The following is a 24909-nucleotide window of genomic DNA, read 5'->3' as shown; positions in this document are numbered from 1 at the left end:
CCTTTGACTTCAAAGCGGCTGAAATCTCCACTTACAAATTCCACAAAAAGAGTGTTACAAGTCTGCTCTGTGTAAAGGATCGTTCAACTCTGTGAGTTGAATACACACAACACAAGGAAGTTACTGAGAATTCTTCTGTCTAGCATAGTATGAAGAAATCCCGTTTCCAACGAAGGCCTCAAAGAGGTCTGAATATCCAATTGCAGACTTTACAAACAGAGTGTTTCCTAACTGCTCTATGAAAAGAAATGTTAAACTCTGTGAGTTGAACGCAGACATCACAAAGAAGTTTCTGAGAATCATTCTGTCTAGTTTTGAAACCAAGATATTTCCTTTTCTGCCGTTGACCTTAAAGCGCTTGAAATCTACACTTGCAAATTGCACAAATAGAGTGTTTCAAATCTGCTCTGTCTAAGGGAACGTTCAACTCTGTGAGTTGAATGCACACAACACAAGGAAGTTACTGGGAATTCTTCTGTCTAGCCTTACATGAAAAAAACCCGTTTCCAACGAAGGCCTCTAAGTGGTCAAAATATCCACGTGGAGACTTTACAAACAGAGTGTTTACAAACTGCTGAATGAACAGAAAAGTTAAACTCTGAGAGTTGAACGCACACATCACAGAGCAGTTTCTGAGAATGATTCTGTCTAGTTTTTAAAGGAAGATATTTCCTTTTCTGCCTTTGGCCTCAAAGCGGTTGAAATCTCACCTTGCAAATTCCACAAAAAGAGTGTTTCAAATCTGATCTGTCTAAAGGAAAGTTCAACTCTGTCAGTTGAATACACCCAACACAAGGAAGTTACTGAGAATTCTTCTGTCTAGCATAATATGAAGAAATCCCGTTTCCAACGAAGGCGTCAAGGAGGTCTGAATATCCACTTGCAGACTTTACAAACAGAGTGTTTCCTAACTGCTCTATGAAAAGAAAGGTTAAACTCTGTGAGTTGAACGCACACATCACAAAGGAGTTTCTGAGAATCATTCTGTCTAGTTTTTATACGAAGATATTTCCTTTTCTACCATGGACCTCAAAGCGGTTGAAATCTCCACTTGCAAATTGCACAAAAAGAGTGTTTCAAGTCTGCTCTGTGTAAAGGATCGTTCAACTCTGTGAGTTGAATACACACAACACAAGGAAGATTCTGAGAATTCTTCTGTCTAGCAGAATATGAAGAAATCCCGTTTCCAACGAAGGCCACAAGATGTCAGAATATCCACTTAAAGAATTGACAAACAGACTGTTTCCTAACTGCTCTATGAAAAGAAAGGTTAAACTCTGTGAGTTGAACGAACACATCACAACGCAGTTTGTGGGAATGATTCTGTCTAGTTTTTATACGAAGATATTTCCTTTTCTACCATTGACCTCAAAGCGGCTGAAATCACCACTTGCCAATTGCACAAAAAGAGTGTTTCAAATCTGCTCTGTCTAAGGGAACGTTCAACTCTGTGAGTTGAATGTACACAACACAAGGAAAGTTACTGGGAATTCTTCTGTCTAGCCTTACATGAAAAATACCCGTTTCCAACGAAGGCCTCTAAGTGGTCAAAATATCCACGTGCAGACTTTACAAACAGAGTGTTTCCAAACCGCTGAATGAAAAGAAAAGTTAAACTCTGAGAGTTGAACGCACACATCACGCAGCAGTTTCTGAGAATCATTCTGTCTAGTTTTTATACAAAGATATTTCCTTTTCTGCCTTTGGCCCCATAGCGCTTGAAATCTCCACTTGCAAATTCCACAAAAACAGTGTTTCAAATCTGCTCTCTCTAAATAAAAGTTCAACTCTGTCAGTTGAATACACACAACACAAGGAAGTTACTGAGAATTCTTCTGTCTAGCATAATATGAAGAAATCCCGCTTCCAACGAAGGCCTCAAAGGGGTCTGAATATCCACTTGCAGACTTTATAAACAGAGTGTTTACTAACTGCTCTATGAAAAGAAAGGTTAAGCTCTGTGAGTTGAACACACACATCACAAAGGAGTTTCTGAGAATCATTCTGTCTAGTCTTTATACGAAGATATTTCCTTTTGTACCATTGACCTCAAAGCGGCTGAAATCTCCACTTGCAAATTCCACAAAAAGAGTGTTTCAGGTCTGCTCTGTGTAAAGAATCGTTCAACTCTGTGAGTTGAATACACACAACACAAGGAAGTTACTGAGAATTCTTCTGTCTAGCAGAATATGAAGAAATCCCGTTTCCAACGAAGGCCTCAAAGAGGTCTGAATATCCACTTGCAGACTTTACAAACAGAGTGTTTCCGAACTGCTCTATGAAAAGAAAGGTTAAACTCTGTTAGCTGAACGCACACATCACAAAGGAGTTTCTGAGAATCATTCTGTCTAGTTTTGAAACGAAGATATTTCCTTTTCTGCCATTGACCTTAAAGCGCTTGAAATCTACACTTGCAAATTGCACAAATAGAGTGTTTCAAATCTGCTCTGTCAAGGGAATGTTCAGCTCTGTGAGTTGAATGCACACAACACAAGGAAGTTACTGGGAATTCTTCTGTCTAGCCTTACATGAAAAAAACCCGTTTCCAACGAAGGCCTCTAAGTGGTCAAAATATCCACGTGCAGACTTTACAGACAGAGTGTTTCCAAACCGCTGAATGAAAAGAAAAGTTAAACTCTGAGAGTTGAACGCACACATCACGCAGCAGTTTCTGAGAATGATTCTGTCTAGTTTTTATACGAAGATATTTTCTTTTCTGCCTTTGACCTCAAAGCGCTTGAAATCTCCATTTGCAAATTCCACAAAAAGAGTGTTTCAAATCTGCTCTGTGTAAATGAAAGTTCAACTCTGTGAGTTGAACACACACAACACAAGGAAGTTACTGGGAATTCTTCTGTCTAGCATAGTATGAAGAAATCCCGTTTCCAACGAAGGCCTCAAAGAGGTCTGAATATCCACTTGCAGACTTTACAAACAAAGTGTTTCCTAACTGCTCTATGAAAAGAAAGGTTAAACTCTGTGAGTTGAACGCACACATCACAAAGAAGTTTCTGAGAATCATTCTGTCTAGTTTCTATAGGAAGATATTTCCTATTCTACCATTGACCTCAAAGCGGTTGAAATCTCCACTTGCAAATTCCACAAGAAGAGTGTTTCAAGTATGCTCTGTGTAAAGGATCGTTCAACTCTGTGAGTTGAATACACACAAAACAAGGAAGTTACTGAGAATTCTTCTGTCTAGCAGAATATGAAGAAATCCCGTTTCCAACGAAGGCCACAAGATGTCAGAGTATCCACTTACAGACTTTACAAACAGTGTGTTTCCTAACTGCTCTATGAACGGAAAGGTTAAACTCTGTGAGTTGAACGAACACATCACAACGCAGTTTGTGGGAATGATTCTGTCTAGTTTTGAAACGAAGATATTTCCTTTTCTGCCATTGACCTTAAAGCGCTTGAAATCTACACTTGCAAATTGCACAAATAGAGTGTTGCAAATCTGCTCTGTCTAAGGGAACGTTCAACTCTGTGAGTTGAATGCACACAACACAAGGAAGTTACTGGGAATTCTTCTGTCTAGCCTTACATGAAAAAAACCCGTTTCCAACGAAGGCCTCTAAGTGGTCAAGTTATCCACGTGCAGACTTTACAAACAGAGTGTTTCCAAACTGCTGAATGAAAAGAAAAGTTAAACTCTGAGAGTTGAACGCACACATCGCAGAGCAGTTTCTGAGAATGATTCTGTCTAGTTTTTATACGAAGATATTTCCTTTTCTGTCTTTGGCCTCAAAGCGCTTGAAATCTCCAATTGCAAATTCCACATAAAGAGCTTTTCAAATCTGCTCTGTCTAAATGAAAGTTCAACTCTGTCAGTTGAATACACACAACACAAGGAAGTTACTGAGAATTCTTCTGTGAAGCAGAATATGAAGAAATCCCGTTTCCAACGAAGGCCTCAGAGAGGTCTGAATATCCCCTTGCAGACTTTACAAACAGAGTGTTTCCTAACTGCTCTATGAAAAGAAACGTTAAACTCTGTGAGTTCAACGCACACATCACAAAGGAGTTTCTGAGAATCATTCTGTCTAGTCTTTATACGAAGATATTTCCTTTTCTACCATTGACCTCAAAGCGGCTGAAATCTCCACTTGAAAATACCAAAAAAAGTGTGTTTCAAGTCTGCTATGTGTAAAGGATCGTTCAACTCTGTGAGTTGAAGACACACAACACAAGGAAGTTTCTGAGAATTCTTCTGTCTAGCCTTATATGAAAAAAACCCGTTTCCAACGAAGGCCTCAAAGAGGTCTGAATATCCACTTGCAGACTTTACAAACAGAGTGTTTCCTAAATGCTCTATGAAAAGAAAGGTTAAACTCTGTGAGTTGAACGAACACATCACAACGCAGTTTGTGGGAATGATTCTGTCTAGTTTTTATAGGAAGATATTTCCTTTTCTACTTTGACTTCAAAGCGGCTGAAATCTCCACTTGCAAATTCCACAAAAAGAGTGTTACAAGTCTGCTCTCTGTAAAGGATCGTTCAACTGTGTGAGTTGAATACACACAACACAAGGGAAGTTACTGAGAACTCTTCTGTCTAGCCTTACATGAAAAAAACCCGTTTCCAACGAAGGCCTCTAAGTGGTCAAATTATCCACGTGCAGACTTTACAAACAGAGTGTTTCCAAACTGCTGAATGAAAAGAAAAGTTAAACTCTGAGAGTTGAACGCACACATCGCAGAGCAGCTTCTGAGAATGATTCTGTCTAGTTTCTATAGGAAGATATTTCCTATTCTACCATTGAACTCAAAGCGGCTGAAATCTCCACTTGCAAATTCCACAAAAAGAGTGTTTCAAGTCTGCTCTGTGTAAAGGATCATTCAACTCTGTGAGTTGAATACACACAACAAAAGGAAGTTACTGAGAATTCTTCTGTCTAGCAGAATATGATTAAATCCCGTTTCCAACGAAGGCCTCAAGGAGGTCTGAATATCCACTTGCAGACTTTACAAACAGAGTGTTTCCTAACTGCTCTATGAAAAGAAAGGTTAAACTCTGTGAGTTGAATGCACACATCACAAAGGAGTTTCTCAGAATCATTCTGTCTAGTTTTTATAGGAAGATATTTCCTTTTCTACCTTTGACTTCAAAGCGGCAGAAATCTCCACTTGCAAATTCCACAAAAAGAGTGTTACAAGTCTGCTCTGTGTAAAGGATCGTTCAACTCTGTGAGTTGAATACACACAACACAAGGAAAGTTACTGAGAATTCTTCTGTCTAGCCTTACATGAAAAAAACCCGTTTCCAAAGAAGGCCTCTAAGTGGTCAAATTATCCACGTGCAGACTTTACAAACAGAGTGTTTCCAAACTGCTGAATGAAAAGAAAAGTTAAACTCTGAGAGTTGAACGCACACATCGCAGAGCAGTTTCTGAGAATGATTCTGTCTCGTTTTGAAACGAAGATATTTCCTTTTCTGCCATTGACCTTAAAGCGCTTGAAATCTCCACTTGCCAATTGCACAAAAAGAGTGTTTCAAATCTGCTCTGTCTAAGGGAACGTTCAACTCTGTGAGTTGAATGTACACAACAGAAGGAAGTTACTGAGAATTCTTCTGTCTAGCCTTACATGAAGAAAACCCGTTTCCAACGGAGGCCTCAAAGAGGTCAAAATATCCACTTGCAGACTTTACAAACAGAGTGTTTCCTAACTACTCTATGAATAGAAAAGTTAAACTCTGTGAGTTGAACATACACATCACAAAGGAGTTTATGAGAATCATTCTGTCTAGTTTTTATACGAAGATATTTCCTTTTCTACCATTGACCTCAAATCGGCTGAAATCTCCACTTGCAAATTCCACAAAACGAGTGTTTCAAGTCCGCTCTGTGTAAAGCATCGTTCAACTCTGTGAGTTGAATACACACAACACAAGGAAGTTACTGAGAATTCTTCTGTCTAGCACAGTATGGAGAAATCCCGTTTCCAACGAAGGCCTCAAAGTGGTCTGAATATCCACTTGCAGAGTTTACAAACAGAGTGTTTCCTAACTGCTCTATGAAAAGAAAGGTTAAACTCTGTGAGTTGAACGCACACATCACAATGAAGTTTCTGAGAATCATTCTGTCTAGTTTTTATACGAAGATATTTCCTTTTCTACCATTGACCTCAACGCGGCTGAAATCTCCACTTGCAAATTCCACAAAAAGAGTGTTTCAAGTCCGCTCTGTGTAAAGGGTCGTTCAACTCTGTGAGTTGAATACACACAACACAAGGAAGTTACTGAGAATTCTTCTGTATAGCACAGTATGAAGAAATCCCGTTTCCAACGAAGGCCTCAAAGAGGTCTGAATATCCACTTGCAGAGTTTACAAACAGAGTGTTTCCTAACTGCTCTATGAAAAGAAAGGTTAAACTCTGTGAGTTGAACGCACACATCACAAAGAAGATTCTGAGAATCATTCTGTCTAGTTTTGAAACCAAGATATTTCCTTTTCTGCCGTTGACCTTAAAGCGCTTGAAATCTACACTTGCAAATTGCACAAATAGAGTGTTTCAAATCTGCTCTGTCTAAGGGAACTTTCAACTCTGTGAGTTGAATGCACACAACACAAGGAAGTTACTGGGAATTCTTCTGTCTAGCCTTACAGGAAAAAAACCCGTTTCCAAAGAAGGCCTCCAAGTGGTCAAATTATCCACGTGCAGACTTTACAAACAGAGTGTTTCCAAACTGCTGAATGAAAAGAAAAGTTAAACTCTGAGAGTTGAACGCACACATCGCAGAGCAGTTTCTGAGAATGATTCTGTCCAGTTTTTATACGAAGATATTTCCTTTTCTGCCTTTGGCCTCAAAGCGCTTGAAATCTCCACTTGCAAATTCCACAAAAAGAGTGTTTCAAATCTGCTCTGTGTAAATGAAAGTTCAACTCTGTGAGTTGAACACACACAACACAAAGAAGTTACTGGGAATTCTTCTGTCTAGCAGAATATGAAGAAATCCCGTTTCCAACGAAGGCCTCAAAGAGGTCTGAATATCCACTTGCAGACATTACAAACAGAGTGTTTCCTAACTGCTTTATGAAAAGAAAGGTTAAACTCTGTGAGTTGAACGCACACATTACAAAGGAGATTCTGAGAATCATTCTGTCTAGTTTTTCTACGAAGATATTTCCTTTTCTACTATTGACCTCAAAGCGGCTGAAATCTCCACTTGCAAATTCCACAAAAAGAGTGTTTCAAGTCTGCTCTGTGTAAAGGATCGTTCAACTCTGCGAGTTCAATACACACAACACAAGGAAGTTACTGAGAATTCTTCTGTCTAGCAGAATATGAAGAAATCCCGTTTCCAACGAAGGCCTCAAAGAGGTCTGAATATCCACTTGCAGACTTTACAAACAGAGTGTTTCCTAACTGCTCTATGAAAAGAAAGGTTAAACTCTGTGAGTTGAATGCACACATCACAAAGGAGTTTCTGAGAATCATTCTGTCTAGTTTTGAAACGAAGATATTTCCTTTTCTGCCATTGACCTTAAAGCGCTTGAAATCTCCATTTGCCAATTGCACAAAAAGAGTGTTTCAAATCTGCTCTGTCTAAGGGAACGTTCAACTATGTGAGTTGAATGTACACAACACAAGGAAGTTACTGGGAATTCTTCTGTCTAGCCTTACAGGAAAAAAACCCGTTTCCAACGAAGGCCTCTAAGTGGTCAAAATATCCACGTGCAGACTTTACAAACAGAGTGTTTCCAAACTGCTGAATGAAAAGAAAAGTTAAACTCTGAGAGTTGAACGCACACATCGCAGAGCAGTTTCTCAGAATGATTCTGTCTAGTTTTTATACGAAGATATTTCCTTTTCTGCCTTTGGCCGCAAAGCGCTTGAAATCTCCACTTGCAAATTCCACAAAAACAGTGTATCAAATCTGCTCTCTCTAAATGAAAGTTCAACTCTGTCAGTTGAATACACACAACACAAGGAAGTTACTGAGAATTCTTCTGTCTAGCATAATATGAAGAAATCCCGTTTCCAACGAAGACCTCAAGGAGGTCTGAATATCCACTTGCAGACTTTACAAACAGAGTGTTTCCAAACTGCTCTATGAAGAGAAAGGTTAAACTCTGTGAGTTAAACGCACACATCACAAAGGAGTTTCTGAGAATCATTCTGTCTAGTTTTTATACGAAGATATTTCCTTTTCTGCCTTTGGCCTCAAAGCGCTTGAAATCTCCACTTGCAAATTCCACAAAAAGTGTGTTTCAAGTCCGCTCTGTGTAAAGGATCGTTCAACTCTGTGAGTTGAATACACACAACACAAGGAAGTTACTGAGAATTCTTCTGTCTAGCACAGTATGAAGAAATTCCGTTTCCAACGAAGGCCTCAAAGAGGTCTGAATATCCACTTGCAGACTTTACAAACAGAGTGTTTCCTAACTGCTCTATGAAAAGAAAGGTTAAACTCTGTGAGTTGAACGCACACATCACAAAGTAGTTTCTGAGAATCATTCTGTCTAGTTTTGAAACGAAGATATTCCCTTTTCTGCCATTGACCTTAAAGCCCTTGAAATCTACACTTGCAAATTGCACAAATAGAGTGTTTCAAATCTGCTCCGTCTAGGGAACGTTCAACTCTGTGAGTTGAATGCACACAACACAAGGAAGTTACTGGGAATTCTTCTGTCTAGCCTTACAGGAAAGAAACCCGTTTACAACGAAGGCCTCTAAGTGGTCAAAATATCCACGTGCAGACTTTACAAACAGAGTGTTTCCAAACTGCTAAATGAAAAGCAAAGTTAAACTCTGAGAGTTGAACGCACACATCGCAGAGCAGTTTCTGAGAATGATTCTGTCTAGTTTTGAAACGAAGATATTTCCTTTTCTCGCCTCTTGGCCTCAAAGCGCTTGAAATCTCCACTTGCAAATTCCACAAAAAGAGTGTTTCAAATCTGCTCTGTGTAAATGAAAGTTCAACTCTGTGAGTTGAACACACACAACACAAGGAAGTTACTGGGAATTCTTCTGTCTAGCATAATATGAAGAAATCCCTTTTCCAACGAAGGCTTCAAGGAGGTCTGAATATCCACTTGCAGACTTTACAAACAGAGTGTTTCCTAACTGCTCTGTGAAAAGAAAGGTTAAACTCTTTGAGTTGAACGCACACATCACAAAGGAGTTTCTGAGAATCATTCTGTCTAGTTTTGAAACGAAGACATTTCCTTTTCTGCCTTTGACTTCAAAGCGGCTGAAATCTCCACTTGCAAATTCCACAAAAAGAGTGTTACAAGTCTGCTCTGTGTAAAGGATCGTTCAACTCTGTGAGTTGAATACACACAACACAAGGGAAGTTACTGAGAATTCTTCTGTCTAGCAGAATATGAAGAAATCCCGTTTCCAACGAAGGCCACAAGATGTCAGAATATCCACTTACAGAATTTTCAAACAGACTGTTTCCTAACTGCTCTATGAAAAGAAAGGTTAAACTCTGTGAGATGAACGAACACATCACAACGCAGTTTGTGGGAATGATTCTGTCTAGTTTTTATAGGAAGATATTTCCTTTTCTACCTTTGACTTCAAAGCGGCTGAAATCTCCACTTGCAAATTCCACAAAAAGAGTGTTACAAGTCTGCTCTGTGTAAAGGATCCTTCAACTGTGTGAGTTGAATACACACAACACAAGGAAGTTACTGAGAATTCTTCTGTCTAGCCTTACATGAAAAAAACCCGTTTCCAACGAAGGCCTCTAAGTGGTCAAATTATCCACGTGCAGACTTTACAAACAGAGTGTTTCCAAACTGCTGAATGAAAAGCGAAGTTAAACTCTGAGAGTTGAACGCACACATCGCAGAGCAGTTTCTGAGAATGATTCTGTCTAGTTTTTATACGAAGATATTTCCTTTTCTTCCTTTGGCCCCAAAGCGCTTGAAATCTCCACTTGCAAATTCCACAAAAACAGTGTTTCAAATCTGCTCTCTCTAAATGAAAGTTCAACTCTGTCAGTTGAATACACACAACAGAAGGAAGTTACTGAGAATTCTTCTGTCTAGCATAATATGAAGAAATCCCGTTTCCAAAGAAGGCCACAAAGGGATCTGAATATCCACTTGCAGACTTTATAAACAGAGTGTTTACTAACTGCTCTATGAAAAGAAAGGTTAAATTCTGAGAGTTGAACACACACATCACAAAGGAGTTTCTGAGAATCATTCTGTCTAGTTTCTATAGGAAGATATTTCCTATTCTACCATTGACCTCAAAGCGGCTGAAATCTCCAATTGCAAATTCCACAAAAAGAGTGTTTCAAGACTGTTCTGTGTAAAGGATCATTCAACTCTGTGAGTTGAATACACACAACACAAGGAAGTTACTAAGAATTCTTCTGTCTAGCCTTATATGAAAAAAACCCGTTTCCAACGAAGGCCTCAAAGAGGTCTGAATGTCCACTTGCAGACTTTACAAACAGAGTGTTTCCTAACTGCTCTATGAAAAGAAAGGTTAAACTCTGTGAGTTGAACGCACACATCACAAAGGAGTTTCTGAGAATCATTCTGTCTAGTCTTTATACGAAGATATTTCCTTTTCTACCATTGACCTCAAAGCGGCTGAAATCTCCACTTGCAAATTCCACAAAAAGAGTGTTTCAAGTCTGCTCTGTGTAAAGGATCTTTCAACTCTGTGAGTTGAATACACACAACACAAGGAAGTTACTGAGAATTCTTCTGTCTAGCAGAATATGTAGAAATCCCGTTTCCAACGAAGGCCACAAGATGTCAGAATATCCACTTACAGAATTTACCAACAGAGTGTTTCCTAACTGCTCTATGAAAAGAAAGGTTAAACTCTGTGAGTTGAACGAACACATCACAACGCAGTTTGTGGGAATGATTCTGTCTAGTTTTGAAACGAAGATATTTCCTTTTCTGCCATTGACCTTAAAGCGCTTGAAATCTACACTTGCAAATTGCACAGAGTGTTTCAAATCTGCTCTGTCTAAGGGAACGTTCAACTCTGTGAGTTGAATGCACACAACACAAGGAAGTTACTGGGAATTCTCTGTCTAGCCTTACAGGAAAAAAACCCGTTTCCAACGAAGGCCTCTAAGTGGTCAAAATATCCACGTGCAGACTTTACAAACAGAGTGTTTCCAAACTGCTGAATGAAAAGAAAAGTTAAACTCTGAGAGTTGAACGCACACATCGCAGAGCAGTTTCTGAGAATGATTCTGTCTAGTTTTTATACGAAGATATTTCCTTTTCTGCCTTTGGCCTCAAAGCGCTTGAAATCTCCACTTGCAAATTCCACAAAAAGAGTGTTTCAAATCTGCTCATTGTAAATGAAAGTTCAACTCTGTGAGTTGAACACACACAACACAAGGAAGTTACTGGGAATACTTCTGTCTAGCATAATATGAAGAAATCCCTTTTCCAACGAAGGCCTCAAGGAGGTCTGAATATCCACTTGCAGACTTTACAAACAGAGTGTTTCCTAACTGCTCTATGAAAAGAAAGTTTAACTCTGTGAGTTGAACGCAGACATCACAAAGGAGTTTCTGAGAATCATTCTGTCTAGTTTCTATAGGAAGATATTTCCTATTCTACCATTGACCTCAAAGCGGCTGAAATCTCCACTTGCAAATTCCACAACAAGAGTGTTTCAACTATGCTCTGTGTAAAGGATCGTTCAACTCTGTGAGTTGAATACACACAACACAAGGAAGTTACTGAGAATTCTTCTGTCTAGCAGAATATGAAGAAATCCCGTTTCCAACGAAGGCCACAAGATGTCAGAATATCCACTTACAGACTTTACAAACAGAGTGTTTCCTCACTGCTCTATGAACAGAAAGGTTAATCTCTGTGAGTTGAACGAACACATCACAACGCAGTTTGTGGGAATGATTCTGTCTAGTTTTGAACGAAGATATTTCCTTTTCTGCCATTGACCTTAAAGCGCTTGAAATCTACACTTGCAAATTGCACAAATAGAGTGTTTCAAATCTGCTCTGTCTAAGGGAACGTTCAACTCTGTGAGTTGAATGCACACAACACAAGGAAGTTACTGGGAATTCTTCTGTCTAGCCTTACAGGAAAAAAACCCGTTTCCAACGAATGCCTCTAAGTGGTCAAAATATCCACGTGCAGACTTTACAAAGAGAGTGTTTCCAAACTGCTGAATGAAAAGAAAAGTTAAACTCTGAGAGTTGAACGCACACATCGCAGAGCAGTTTCTGAGAATGATTCTGTCTAGTTTTTATACGAAGATATTTCCTTTTCTGCCTTTGGCCCCAAAGCGCTTGAAATCTCCACTTGCAAATTCCACAAAAACAGTGTTTCAAAACTGCTCTCTCTAAATGAAAGTTCAACTCTGTCAGTTGAATACACACAACACAAGGGAAGTTACTGAGAATTCTTCTGTCTAGCATAATATGAAGAAATCCCGTTTCCAACGAAGGCCACAAAGGGGTCTGAATATCCACTTGCAGACTTTATAAACAGAGTGTTTACTAACTGCTCTATGAAAAGAAAAGTTAAACTCTGTGAGTTGAACACACACATCACAAAGGAGTTTCTGAGAATCATTCTGTCTAGTTGTTATACGAAGATATTTCCTTTTCTACCATTGACCTCAAAGCGGCTGAAATCTCCACTTGCAAATTCCACCAAATGAGTGTTTCAAATCTGCTCTGTGTAAACCGTCGTTCAACTCTGTGAGTTGAATACACACAACACAAGGAAGATTCTGAGAATTCTTCTGTCTAGCAGAATATGAAGAAATCCCGTTTCCAACGAAGGCCACAAGATGTCAGAATATCCACTTACAGAATTTACAAACAGACTGTTTCCTAACTGCTCTATGAAAAGAAAGGTTAAACTCTGTGAGTTGAACGAACACATCACAACGTAGTTTGTGGGAATGATTCTGTCTAGTTTTGAAACGAAGATATTTCCTTTTCTGCCATTGACCTTATAGCGCTTGAAATCTCCACTTGCCAATTGCACAAAAAGAGTATTTCAAATCTGCTCTGTCTAAGGGAACGTTCAACTCTGTGAGTTGAATGTACACAACACAAGGAAGTTACTGGGAATTCTTCCGTCTAGCCTTACATGAAAAAAACCCGTTTCCAACGAAGGCCTCTAAGTGGTCAAATTATCCACGTGCAGACTTTACAAACAGAGTGTTTCCAAACTGCTGAATGAAAAGAAAAGTTAAACTCTGAGAGTTGAACGCACACATCGCAGAGCAGTTTCTGAGAATGATTCTGTCTAGTTTTTATACGAAGATATTTCCTTTTCTGCCTTTGACCTCAAAGCGCTTGAAATCTCCATTTGCAAATTCCACAAAAAGAGAGTTTCAAATCTGCTCTGTGTAAATGAAAGTTCAACTCTGTGAGTTGAACACACACAACACAAGGAAGTTACTGGGAATTCTTCTGTCTAGCATAATATGAAGAAATCCCGTTTCCTACGAAGGCCTCAAAGAGGTCTGAATATCCACTTGCAGACTTTACAAACAGAGTGTTTCCTAACTACTCTATGAAAAGAAAGGTTAAACTCTGTGAGTTGAGCGCACACATCACAAAGGAGTTTCTGAGAATCATTCTGTCTAGTTTTTATACGAAGATATTACCTTTTCTACCATGGACCTCAAAGCGGCTGAAATCTCCACTTGCAAATTCCACAAAAAGAGTGTTTCAAGTCTGCTCTGTGTAAAGGATCGTTCAACTCTGTGAGTTGAATACACCCAACACAAGGAAGATTCTGAGAATTCTTCTGTCTAGCAGAATATGAAGAAATCCCGTTTCCAACGAAGGCCTCAAGGAGGTCTGAATATCCACTTGCAGACTGTACAAACAGAGTGTTTCCTAACTGCTCTATGAACAGAAAGGTTAAACTCTGTGAGTTGAACGAACACATCACAACGCAGTTTGTGGGAATGATTCTGTCTAGTTTTGAAACGAAGAAATTTCCTTTTCTGCCATTGACCTTAAAGCGCTTGAAATCTACACTTGCAAATTGCACAAATAGAGTGTTTCAAATCTGCTCTGTCTAAGGGAACGTTCAACTGTGTGAGTTGAATGCACACAACACAAGGAAGTTACTGGGAATTCTTCTGTCTAGCCTTACATGAAAAAAACCCGCTTCCAACGAAGGCCTCTAAGTGGTCAAATTATTCACGTGCAGACGTTACAAACAGAGTGTTTCCAAACTGCTGAATGAAAAGAAAAGTTAAACTCTGAGAGTTGAACGCACACATCGCAGAGCAGTTTCTGAGAATGATTCTGTCTAGTTTCTATAGGAAGATATTTCCTATTCTACCATTGACCTCAAAGAGGCTGAAATCTCCACTTGCAAATTCCACAAAAAGACTGTTTCAAGTCTGCTCTGTGTAAAGGATCGTTCAAATCTGTGAGTTGAATACTCACAACACAAGGAAGTTACTGAGAATTCTTCTGTCTAGCATAATATGTAGAAATCCCGTTTCCAACGAAGGCCTCAAGGAGGTCTGAATATCCACTTGCAGACTTTACAAACAGAGTGTTTCCTAACTGCACTATGAAAAGAAAGGTTAAACTCTGTGAGTTGAACGCACGCATCACAAAGGAGTTTCTGAGAATCATTCTGTCTAGTTTTTATAGGAAGATATTTCCTTTTCTACCTTTGACTTCAAAGCGGCTGAAATCTCCACTTGCAAATTCCACAAAAAGAGTGTTACAAGTCTGCTCTGTGTAAAGTATCGTTCAACTCTGTGAGTTGAATACACACAACACAAGGAAGTTACTGAGAATTCTTCTGTCTAGCAGAATATGAAGAAATCCCGTTTCCAACGAAGGCCACAAGATGTCAGAATATCCACTTATAGACTTTACAAACAGAGTGTTTCCTAACTGCTCTATGAACAGAAAGGTTAAACTCTGTGAGTTGAACGAACACAATCACAACGCAGTTTGTGGGAATGATTCTGTCTAGTTTTCAAACGAAGATATTTCCTATTCTACCATTGACCTTAAAGCGCTTGAAATCTCCATTTGCCAATTGCACAAAAAGAGTGTTTCAAATCTGCTCTGTCTAAGGGAACGTTCAACTCTGTGAGTTGAATGTACACAACACAAGGAAGTTACTGGGAATTCTTCTGTCTAGCCTTCCATGAAAAAAACCCGTTTCCAACGAAGGCCTCTAAGTGGTCAAATTATCCACGTGCAGACTTTACAAACAGAGTGTTTCCAAACTGCTGAATGAAAAGAAAAGTTAAACTCTGAGAGTTGAACGCACACATCGCAGAGCAGTTTCTGAGAATGATTCTGTCTAGTTTCTATTGGAAGATATTTCCTATTCTACCATTGACCTCAAAGCGGCTGAAATCTCCACTTGCAAATTCCACAAAAAGAGTGTTTCAAGTGTGCTCTCTGTAAAGGATCGTTCAACTCTGTGAGTTGAATACACACAACACAAGGAAGTTACTGAGAATTGTTCTGTCTAGCATAATATGAAGAAATCTCGTTTCCACCGAAGGCCTCAAAGAGGTCTGAATATCCACTTGCAGACTTTACAAACAGAGTGTTTCCTAACTGCTCTATGAAAAGAAAAGTTTAACTCTGTGTGTTGAACGCACACATCACAAAGGAGTTTCTGAGAATCATTCTGTCTAGTTTTTATACGAAGATATTTCCTTTTCTACCATTGACCTCAAAGCGGCTGAAATCTCCACTTGCAAATTCCACAAAAAGAGTGTTTCAAGTCTGCTCTGTGGTAAAGGATCGTTCAACTCTGTGAGTTGAAAACACACAACACAAGGAAGTTTCTGAGAATTCTTCTGTCTAGCAGAATATGAAGAAATCCCGTTTCCAACGAAAGCCTCAAAGATGTCTGAATATCCACTTGCAGACATTACAAACAGAGTGTTTCCTAACTGCTCTATGAAAAGAAAGGTTAAACTCTGTGAGTTGAACGCACATATCACAAAGGAGTTTCTGAGAATCATTCTGTCTAGTTTTGAAACGAAAATATTTCCTTTTCTGCCATTGACCTTAAAGCGCTTGAAATCTACACTTGCAAATTGCACAAATAGAGTGTTTCAAATCTGCTCTGTCTAAGGGAACATTCATCTCTGTGACTTGAGTGCACACAACACAAGGAAGTTATTGGGAATTCTTCTGTCTAGCCTTACATGAAAAAAACCCGTTTCCAACGAAGGCCTCTAAGTGGTCACAATGTCCACGTGCAAACTTTACAAACAGAGTGTTTCCAAACTGCTGAATGAAAAGAAAAGTTAAACTCTGAGAGTTGAACGCACACATCACAGAGCAGTTTCTGAGAAAGACTCTGTCTAGTTTTTATACGAAGATATTTCCTTTTCTGCCTTTGACCTCAAAGCGCTTGAAATCTCCACTTGCAAATTCCACAAAAAGAGTGTTTCAAATCTGCTCTGTGTAAATGAAAGTTCAACTCTGTGAGTTGAACACACACAACACAAGGGAAGTTACTGGGAATTCTTCTGTCTAGCATAATATGAAGAAATCCCGTTTCCAACGAAGGCCTTAAGGAGGTCTGAATATCCAGTTGCAGACTTTACAAACAGAGTGTTTCCTAACTGCTCTATGAAAAGAAAGGTTAAACTCTGTGAGTTGAATGCACACATCACAAAGGAGTTTCTGAGAATCATTCTGTCTACTTTTTATACGAAGATATTTCCTTTTCTACCATTGACTTCAAAGCGGCTGAAATCTCCACTTGCAAATTCCACAAAAAGAGTGTTTCAAGTCTGCTCTGTGTAAAGGATCGTTGAACTCTGTGAGTTGAATACACACAACACAAGGAAGTTACTGAGAATTCTTCTCTCTAGCAGAATATGAAGAAATCCCGTTTCCAACGAAGGCCTCAAAGAGGTCTGAATATCCACTTGCAGACTTTACAAACAGAGTGTTTCCTAACTGCTCTATGAAAAGAATGGTAAAACTCTGTGAGTTGAACGCACACATCACAAAGGAGTTTCTGAGAATCATTCTGTCTAGTTTCTATAGGAAGATATTTCCTATTCTACCATTGACCTGAAAGCGGCTGAAATCTCCACTTGCAAATTCCACAAAAAGAGTGTTTCAAGTCTGCTGTGTGTAAAGAATCGTTCAACTCTGTGAGTTGAATACACACAACACAAGGAAGTTACTGAGAATTCTTCTGTCTAACAGAATATGAAGAAATCCCGTTACCAACGAAGGCCACAAGATGTCAGAATATCCACTTACAGAATTTACAAACAGATTGTTTCCTAACTGCTCTATGAAAAGAAAGGTTAAACTCAGTGAGTTGAAAGAACACATCACAACGCAGTTTGTGGGAATGATTCTGTCTAGTTTTGAAACGAAGATATTTCCTTTTCTTCCATTGACCTTAAAGCGCTTGAAATCTCCACTTGCCAATTGCACAAAAAGAGTGTTTCAAATCTGCTCTGTCTAAGGGAACGTTCAACTCTGTGAGTTGAATGTACACAACACAAGGAAGTTACTGGGAATTCTTCTGTCTAGCCTTACAGGAAAAAAATCCGTTTCCAACGAAAGCCTCTAAGTGGTCAAAATATCCACGTGCAGACTTTACAAACAGAGTGTTTCCAAACTGCTGAATGAAAAGAAAAGTTAAACTCTGAGAGTTGAACGCACACATCGCAGAGCAGTTTCTGAGAATGATTCTGTCTAGTTTTGAAACGAAGATATTTCCTTTTCTGCCTTTGGCCTCAAAGCGCTTGAAATCTCCACTTGCAAATTCCACAAAAAGAGTGTTTCAAATCTGCTCTGTGTAAATGAAAGTTCAACTCTGTGAGTTGAACACACACAACACAAGGAAGTTACTGGGAATTCTCTGTCTAGCAGAATATGAAGAAATCCCTTTTCCAACGAAAGCCTCAATGATGTCTGAATATCCACCTGCAGACTTTACAAACAGAGTGTTTCCTAACTGCTCTATGAAAAGAAAGTTTAAACTCTGTGAGTTGAACGCACACATCACAAAGGAGTTTCTGAGAATCATTCTGTCTAGTTTTTATACGAAGATATTTCCTTTTCTACCATGGACCTCAAAGCGGCTGAAATCTCCACTTGCAAATTCCACAAAAAGAGTGTTTCAAGTCTGCTCTGTGTAAAGCATCGTTCAACTCTGTGAGTTGAATACACACAACACCAAGAAGTTACTGAGAATTCTTCTGTCTAGCAGAATACGAAGAAATCCCGTTTCCAACGAAGGCCTCAAAGAGGTCTGAATATCCACTTGCAGACTTTACAAACAGAGTGTTTCCTAACTGCTCTAAGAAAAGAAAGGTTAAACTGTGTGAGTTGAACGCTCACATCACAAAGGAGTTTCTGAGAATCGTTCTGTCTAGTTTTTCTACGAAGATATTTCCTTTTCTACCATTGACCTCAAAGTGGCTGAAATCTCCACTTGCAAATTCCACAAAAAGAGTGTTTCAAGTCTGCTCTGTGTAAAGGATCGTTCAACTCTGTGAGTTGAATACACACAACACAAGGAAGTTACTGAGAATTCTTCTGTCTAGGAGAATATGAAGAAATCCCGTTTCCAACGAAGGCCACAAGATGTCAGAATATCCACTTACAGAATTGACAAACAGACTGTTTCCTAACTGCTCTATGAAAAGAAAGGTTAAACTCTGTGAGTTGAACGAACACATCACAACGCAGTTTGTGGGAATGATTCTGTCTAGTTTTGAAACGAAGATATTTCCTTTTCTGCCACTGACCTTAAAGCGCTTGAAATCTACACTTGCAAATTGCACAAATAGAGTGTTTCAAATCTGCTCTGTCTAAGGGAACGTTCAACTCTGTGAGTTGAATGCACACAACACAAGGAAGTTACTGGGAATTCTTCTGTCTAGCCTTACATGAAAAAAACCCGGTTCCAACGAAGGCCTCTAAGTGGTCAAGTTATCCACGTGCAGACTTTACAAACAGAGTGTTTCCAAACTGCTGAATGAAAAGAAAAGTTAAACTCTGAGAGTTGAACGCACACATCGCAGAGCAGTTTCTGAGAATGATTCTGTCTAGTTTTGAAACGAAGATATTTCCTTTTCTGCCTTTGGCCTCAAAGCGCTTGAAATCTCCACTTGCAAATTCCACAAAAAGAGTGTTTCAAATCTGCTCTGTGTAAATGAAAGTTCAACTCTGTGATTTGAACACACACAACACAAGGAAGTTACTGGGAATTCTTCTGTCTAGCAGAATATGAAGAAATCCCGTTTCCAACGAAGGCCCCAAGGAGGTCTGAATATCCACTTGCAGACTTTACAAACAGAGTGTTTCCTAACTGCTCTATGAACAGAAAGGTTAAACTCTGTGAGTTGAACGCACACATCACAAAGGAGTTTCTGAGAATCATTCTGTCTAGTTTCGATACGAAGATATTCCCTTTTCTACCATTGACCTCAAAGCGGCTGAAATCTCCACTTGCAAATTCCACAAAAAGAGTGTTTCAAGTCTGCTCTGTGTAAAGGATCGTTCAACTCTGTGAGTTGAATACACACAACACAAGGAAGTTATTGAGAATTCTTCTGTCTAGCAGAATATGAAGAAATCCCGTTTCCAACGAAGGCCACAAGATGTCAGAATATCCACTTACAGACTTTACAAACAGAGTGTTTCCTAACTGCTCTATGAACAGAAAGGTTAAACTCTGTGAGTTGAACGAGCACATCACAACGCAGTTTGTGGGAATGATTCTGTCTAGTTTTGAAACGGAGATATTTCCTTTTCTGCCATTGACCTTAAAGCGCTTGAAATCTACACTTGCAAATTGCACAAATAGAGTGTTTCAAATCTGCTCTGTCTAAGGGAACGTTCAACTCTGTGAGTTGAATGCACACAACACAAGGAAGTTACTGGGAATTCTTCTGTCTAGCCTTACAGGAAAAAAACCCGTTTCCAACGAAGGCCTCTAAGTGGTCAAGTTATCCACGTGCAGACTTTACAAACAGAGTGTTTCCAAACTGCTGAATGAAAAGAAAAGTTAAACTCTGAGAGTTGAACGCACACATCGCAGAGCAGTTTCTGAGAATGATTCTGTCTAGTTTTTATACGAAGATATTTCCTTTTCTGCCTTTGGCCTCAAAGCGCTTGAAATCTCCACCTGCAAATTCCACAAAAAGAGTGTTTCAAATCTGCTCTGTGTAAATGAAAGTTCAACTCTGTGAGTTGAACACACACAACACAAGGGAAGTTACTGGGAATTCTTCTTTCTAGCAGAATATGAAGAAATCCCGCTTCCAACGAAGGCCTCAAAGAAGTCTGAATATCCACTTGCAGACTTTACAAACAGAGTGTTTCCCAACTGCTCTATGAAAAGAAAGGTTGAACTCTGTGAGTTGAACGCACACATCACAAAGGAGTTTCTGAGAATCATTCTGTCTAGTTTCTATACGAAGATATTTCCTATTCTACCATTGACCTCAAAGCGGCTGAAATCTCCACTTGCAAATTCCACAAAAAGAGTGTTTCAAGTCTGCTCTGTGTAAAGGATCGTTCAACTCTGTGAGTTGAATACACACAACACAAGGAAGTTACTGAGAAATCTTCTGTCTAGCAGAATATCAAGAAATCCCGTTTCCAACGAAGGCCTCAAGGTGGTCTGAATATCCACTTGCAGACTTTACAAACAGAGTGTTTCCTAACTGCTCTATGAATAGAAAGGTTAAACTCTGTGAGTTGAACGAACACATCACAACGCAGTTTGTGGGAATGATTCTGTCTAGTTTTTATAGGAAGATATTTCCTTTTCTGCCTTTGACTTCAAAGCGGCTGAAATCTCCACTTGCAAATTCCACAAAAAGAGTGTTACAAGTCTGCTCTGTGTAAAGGATCGTTCAACTCTGTGAGGTGAATACACACAACACAAGGAAGTTACTGAGAATTCTTCTGTCTAGCCTTACATGAAAAAAACCCGTTTCCAACGAAGGCCTCTAAGTGGTCAAATTATCCACGTGCAGACTTTAAAAACAGAGTGTTTCCAAACTGCTGAATGAAAAGAAAAGTTAAACTGCTGAGAGTTGAACGCACACATCGCAGAGCAGTTTCTGAGAATGATTTCTGTCTAGTTTTGAAACGAAGATATTTCCTTTTCTGCCTTTGGCCTCAAAGCGCTTGAAATCTCCACTTGCAAATTCCACAAAAAGAGTGTTTCAAATCTGCTCTGTGTAAATGGAAGTTTAACTCTGTGAGTTGAACACACACAACACAAGGAAGTTACTGGGAATTCTTCTGTCTAGAATAATATGAAGAAATCCCGTTTCCAACGAAGGCCTCAAAGAGGTCTGAATATCCACTTGCAGACTTTACAAACAGAGTGTTTCCTAACTGCTCTATGAACAGAAAAGTTAAACTCTGTGAGTTGAACGCACACATCACAAAGGAGTTTCTGAGAATCATTCTGTCTAGTTTTTATACGAAGATATTTCCTTTTCTACCATGGACCTCAAAGCGGCTGAAATCTCCACTTGCAAATTCCACAAAAAGAGTGTGTCAAATCTGCTCTGTGTAAAGGATCGTTCATCTCTGTGAGTTGAATACACAGAACACAAGGAAGTTTCTGAGAATTCTTCTGTCTACCAGAATATGAAGAAATCCCGTTTCCAAAGAAAGCCTCAAGGAGGTCTGAATATCCACTTGCAGACTTTACAAACAGAGTGTTTCCTAACTGCTCTATGAACAGAAAGGTTAAACTCTGTGAGTTGAACGAACACATCACAACGCAGTTTGTGGGAATGATTCTGTCTAGTTTTGAAACGAAGATATTTCCTTTTGTGCCATTGACCTTAAAGCGCTTGAAATCTACACTTGCAAATTGCACAAATAGAGTGTTTCAAATCTGCTCTGTCTAAGGGAACGTTCAACTCTGTGAGTTGAATGCACACAACACAAGGAAGTTACTGGGAATTCTTCTGTCTAGCCTTACATGAAAAAAACCCCTTTCCAACGAAGGCCTCTAAGTGGTCAAAATATCCACGTGCAGACTTTACAACAGAGTGTTTCCAAACCGCTGAATGAAAAGAAAAGTTAAACTCTGAGAGTTGAACGCATACATCACGCAGCAGTTTCTGAGAATGATTCTGTCTAGTTTTTATACGAAGATATTTCCTTTTCTGCCTTTGGCCGCAAAGCGCTTGAAATCTCCACTTGCAAATTCCACAAAAACAGTGTTTCAAATCTGCTCTCTCTAAATGAAAGTTCAACTCTGTCAGTTGAATACACACAACACAAGGTAAGTTACTGAGAATTCTTCTGTCTAGCATAATATGAAGAAATCCCGTTTCCAACGAAGGCCTCAAGAGGTCTGAATATCCACTTGCAGACTTTACAAACAGAGTGTTTCCTAACTGCTCTATGAAAAGAAAAGTTAAACTCTGTGAGTTGAACGCACACATCACATAGGAGTTCCTGAGAATCATTCTGTCTAGTTTCTATAGGAAGATATTTCCTATTCTACCATTGACCACAAAGCGGCTGAAATCTCCACTTGCAAATTCCACAAAAAGAGTTTTTCAAGTCTGCTCTGTGTAAAGGATCATTTAACTCTGTGAGTTGAATACACACAACACAAGGAAGTTACTGAGAATTCTTCTGTATAGCAGAATATGAAGAAATCCCGTTTCCAAAGAAGGCAACAAGATGTCAGTATATCCACTTAGAGACTTTACAAACAGAGTGTTTCCTAACTGCTCTATGAAAAGAAAGGTTAAACCCTGTGAGTTGAACGAAAACATCACAACGCAGTTTGTGGGAATGATTCTGTCTAGTTTTTATATGAAGATATTTCCTTTTCTACCATTGACCACAAAGCGGCTGAAATCACCACTTGCCAATTGCACAAAAAGAGTGTTTCAAATCTGCTCTGTCTAAGGAAACGTTCAACTCTGTGAGTTGAATGTACACAACACAAGGAAGTTACTGGGAATTCTTCTGTCTAGCAGAATTTGAAGAAATCCCGTTTCCAACGAAGGCCTCAAGGAGGTCTGAATATCCACTTGCAGACTTTACAAACAGAGTGTTTCCTAACTGCTATATGAAAAGAAAGGTTAAACTGTGTGAGTTGAACGCACACATCACAAAGGAGTTTCTCAGAATCATTCTGTCTAGTTTTTCTACGAAGATATTTCCTATTCTACCATTGACCTCAAAGCGGCTGAAATCTCCACTTGCAAATTCCACAAAAAGAGTGTTTCAAGTCTGCTCTGTGAAAAGGATCGTTCAACTCTGTGAGTTGAATACACACAACACAAGGAAGTTACTGAGAATTCTTCTGTCTAGCAGAATATGAAGAAATCCCGTTTCCAACGAAGGCCTCAAAGAGGTCTGAATATCCACTTGCAGACTTTACAAACAGAGTGTTTCCTAACTGCTCTATGAAAAGAAAGGTTAAACTCTGTGAGTTGAATGCACACATCACAAAGGAGTTTCTGAGAATCCTTCTGTCCAGTTTTTATACGAAGATATTTCCTTTTCTACCATTGACCTCAACGCGGCTGAAATCTCCACTTGCAAATTCCACAAAAAGGGTGTTTCAAGTCTGCTCTGTGTAAAGGATCGTTCAACTCTGTGAGTTGAATACACACAACACAAGGAAGTTACTGAGAATTCTTCTGTCTAGCAGAATATGAAGAAATCCCGTTTCCAACGAAGGCCACAAGATGTCAGAATATCCACTTACAGAATTTTCAAACAGACTGTTTCCTAACTGCTCTATGAAAAGAAAGGTTAAACTCTGTGAGTTGAACGAACACATCACAACGCAGTTTGCGGGAATGATTCTGTCTAGTTTTTATACGAAGATATTTCCTTTTCTACCATTGACCTCAAAGCGGTTGAAATCAACACTTGCCAATTGCACAAAAAGAGTGTTTCAAATCTGCTCTGTCTAAGGGAACGTTCAACTCTGTGAGTAGAATGTACACAACACAAAGAAGTTACTGGGAATTCTTCTGTCTAGCATAATATGAAGAAATCCCGTTTCCAACGAAGTCCTAAAGGAGGTCTCAATATCCACTTGCAGACTTTACAAACAGAGTGTTTCCTAACTGCTCTATGAAAAGAAAGGTTAAACTCTGTGAGTTGAACGCACACATCACAAAGGAGTTTCTGAGAATCATTCTGTCTAGTTTGTATAAGAAGATATTTCCTATTCTACCATTGACCTCAAAGCGGCTGAAATCTCCACTTGCAAATTCGACAAAAAGAGTGTTTCAAGCCTGCTCTCTGTAAAGGATCCTTCAACTCTGTGAGTTGAATACACACAACACAAGGAAGTTACTGAGAATTCTTCTGTCTAGCATAATATGAAGAAATCCCGTTTCCAACGAAGACCTCAAAGGGGTCTGAATATCCACTTGCAGACTTTATAAACAGAGTGTTTCCTAACTGCTCTATGAAAAGAAAGGTTAAACTCTGTGAGTTGAACACACACATCACAAAGGAGTTTCTGAGAATCATTCTGTCTAGTCTTTATATGAAGATAGTTTCCTTTTCAACCATTGACCTCAAAGCGGCTGAAATCTCCACTTGCAAATTCCACAAAAAGAGTGTTTCAAGTCTGCTCTGTGTAAAGGATCGTTCAACTGTGTGAGTTGAATACACACAACACAAGGAAGTTACTGAGAATTCTTCTGTCTAGCAGAATATGAAGAAATCCCGTTTCCAACGAAGGCCTCAAGGAGGTCTGAATATCCACTTGCAGACTTTACAAACAGAGTGTTTCCTAACTGCTCTATGAACAGAAAGGTTAAACTCTGTGAGTTGAACGAACACATCACAACGCCGTTTGTGGGAATGATTCTGTCTAGTTTTGAAACGAAGATATTTCCTTTTCTGCCATTGACCTTAAAGCGCTTGAAATCTCCACTTGCCGATTGCACAAAAAGAGTGTTTCAAATCTGCTCTGTCTAAGGGAACGTTCAACTCTGTGAGTTG

General features: G+C 39.2%; 1 annotated feature.

Moving 5' to 3' along the window:
- Positions 1–24909: part of a centromere (Linear centromere model derived predominantly from reads generated in PMID: 17803354. This region does not represent an actual centromere sequence, as long-range ordering of repeats and unmapped WGS contigs is not provided by the model. For details of model production, see http://arxiv.org/abs/1307.0035.) that runs on past both edges of the window.

Source organism: Homo sapiens, chromosome 1 (genome assembly GCF_000001405.40).
Source record: "Homo sapiens chromosome 1, GRCh38.p14 Primary Assembly".
NCBI classification, from domain to species: domain Eukaryota; kingdom Metazoa; phylum Chordata; class Mammalia; order Primates; family Hominidae; genus Homo; species Homo sapiens.
The sequence above is the reverse complement of the archived record's forward strand: the minus strand, read 5'-3'. Positions and strand labels throughout refer to the sequence as shown.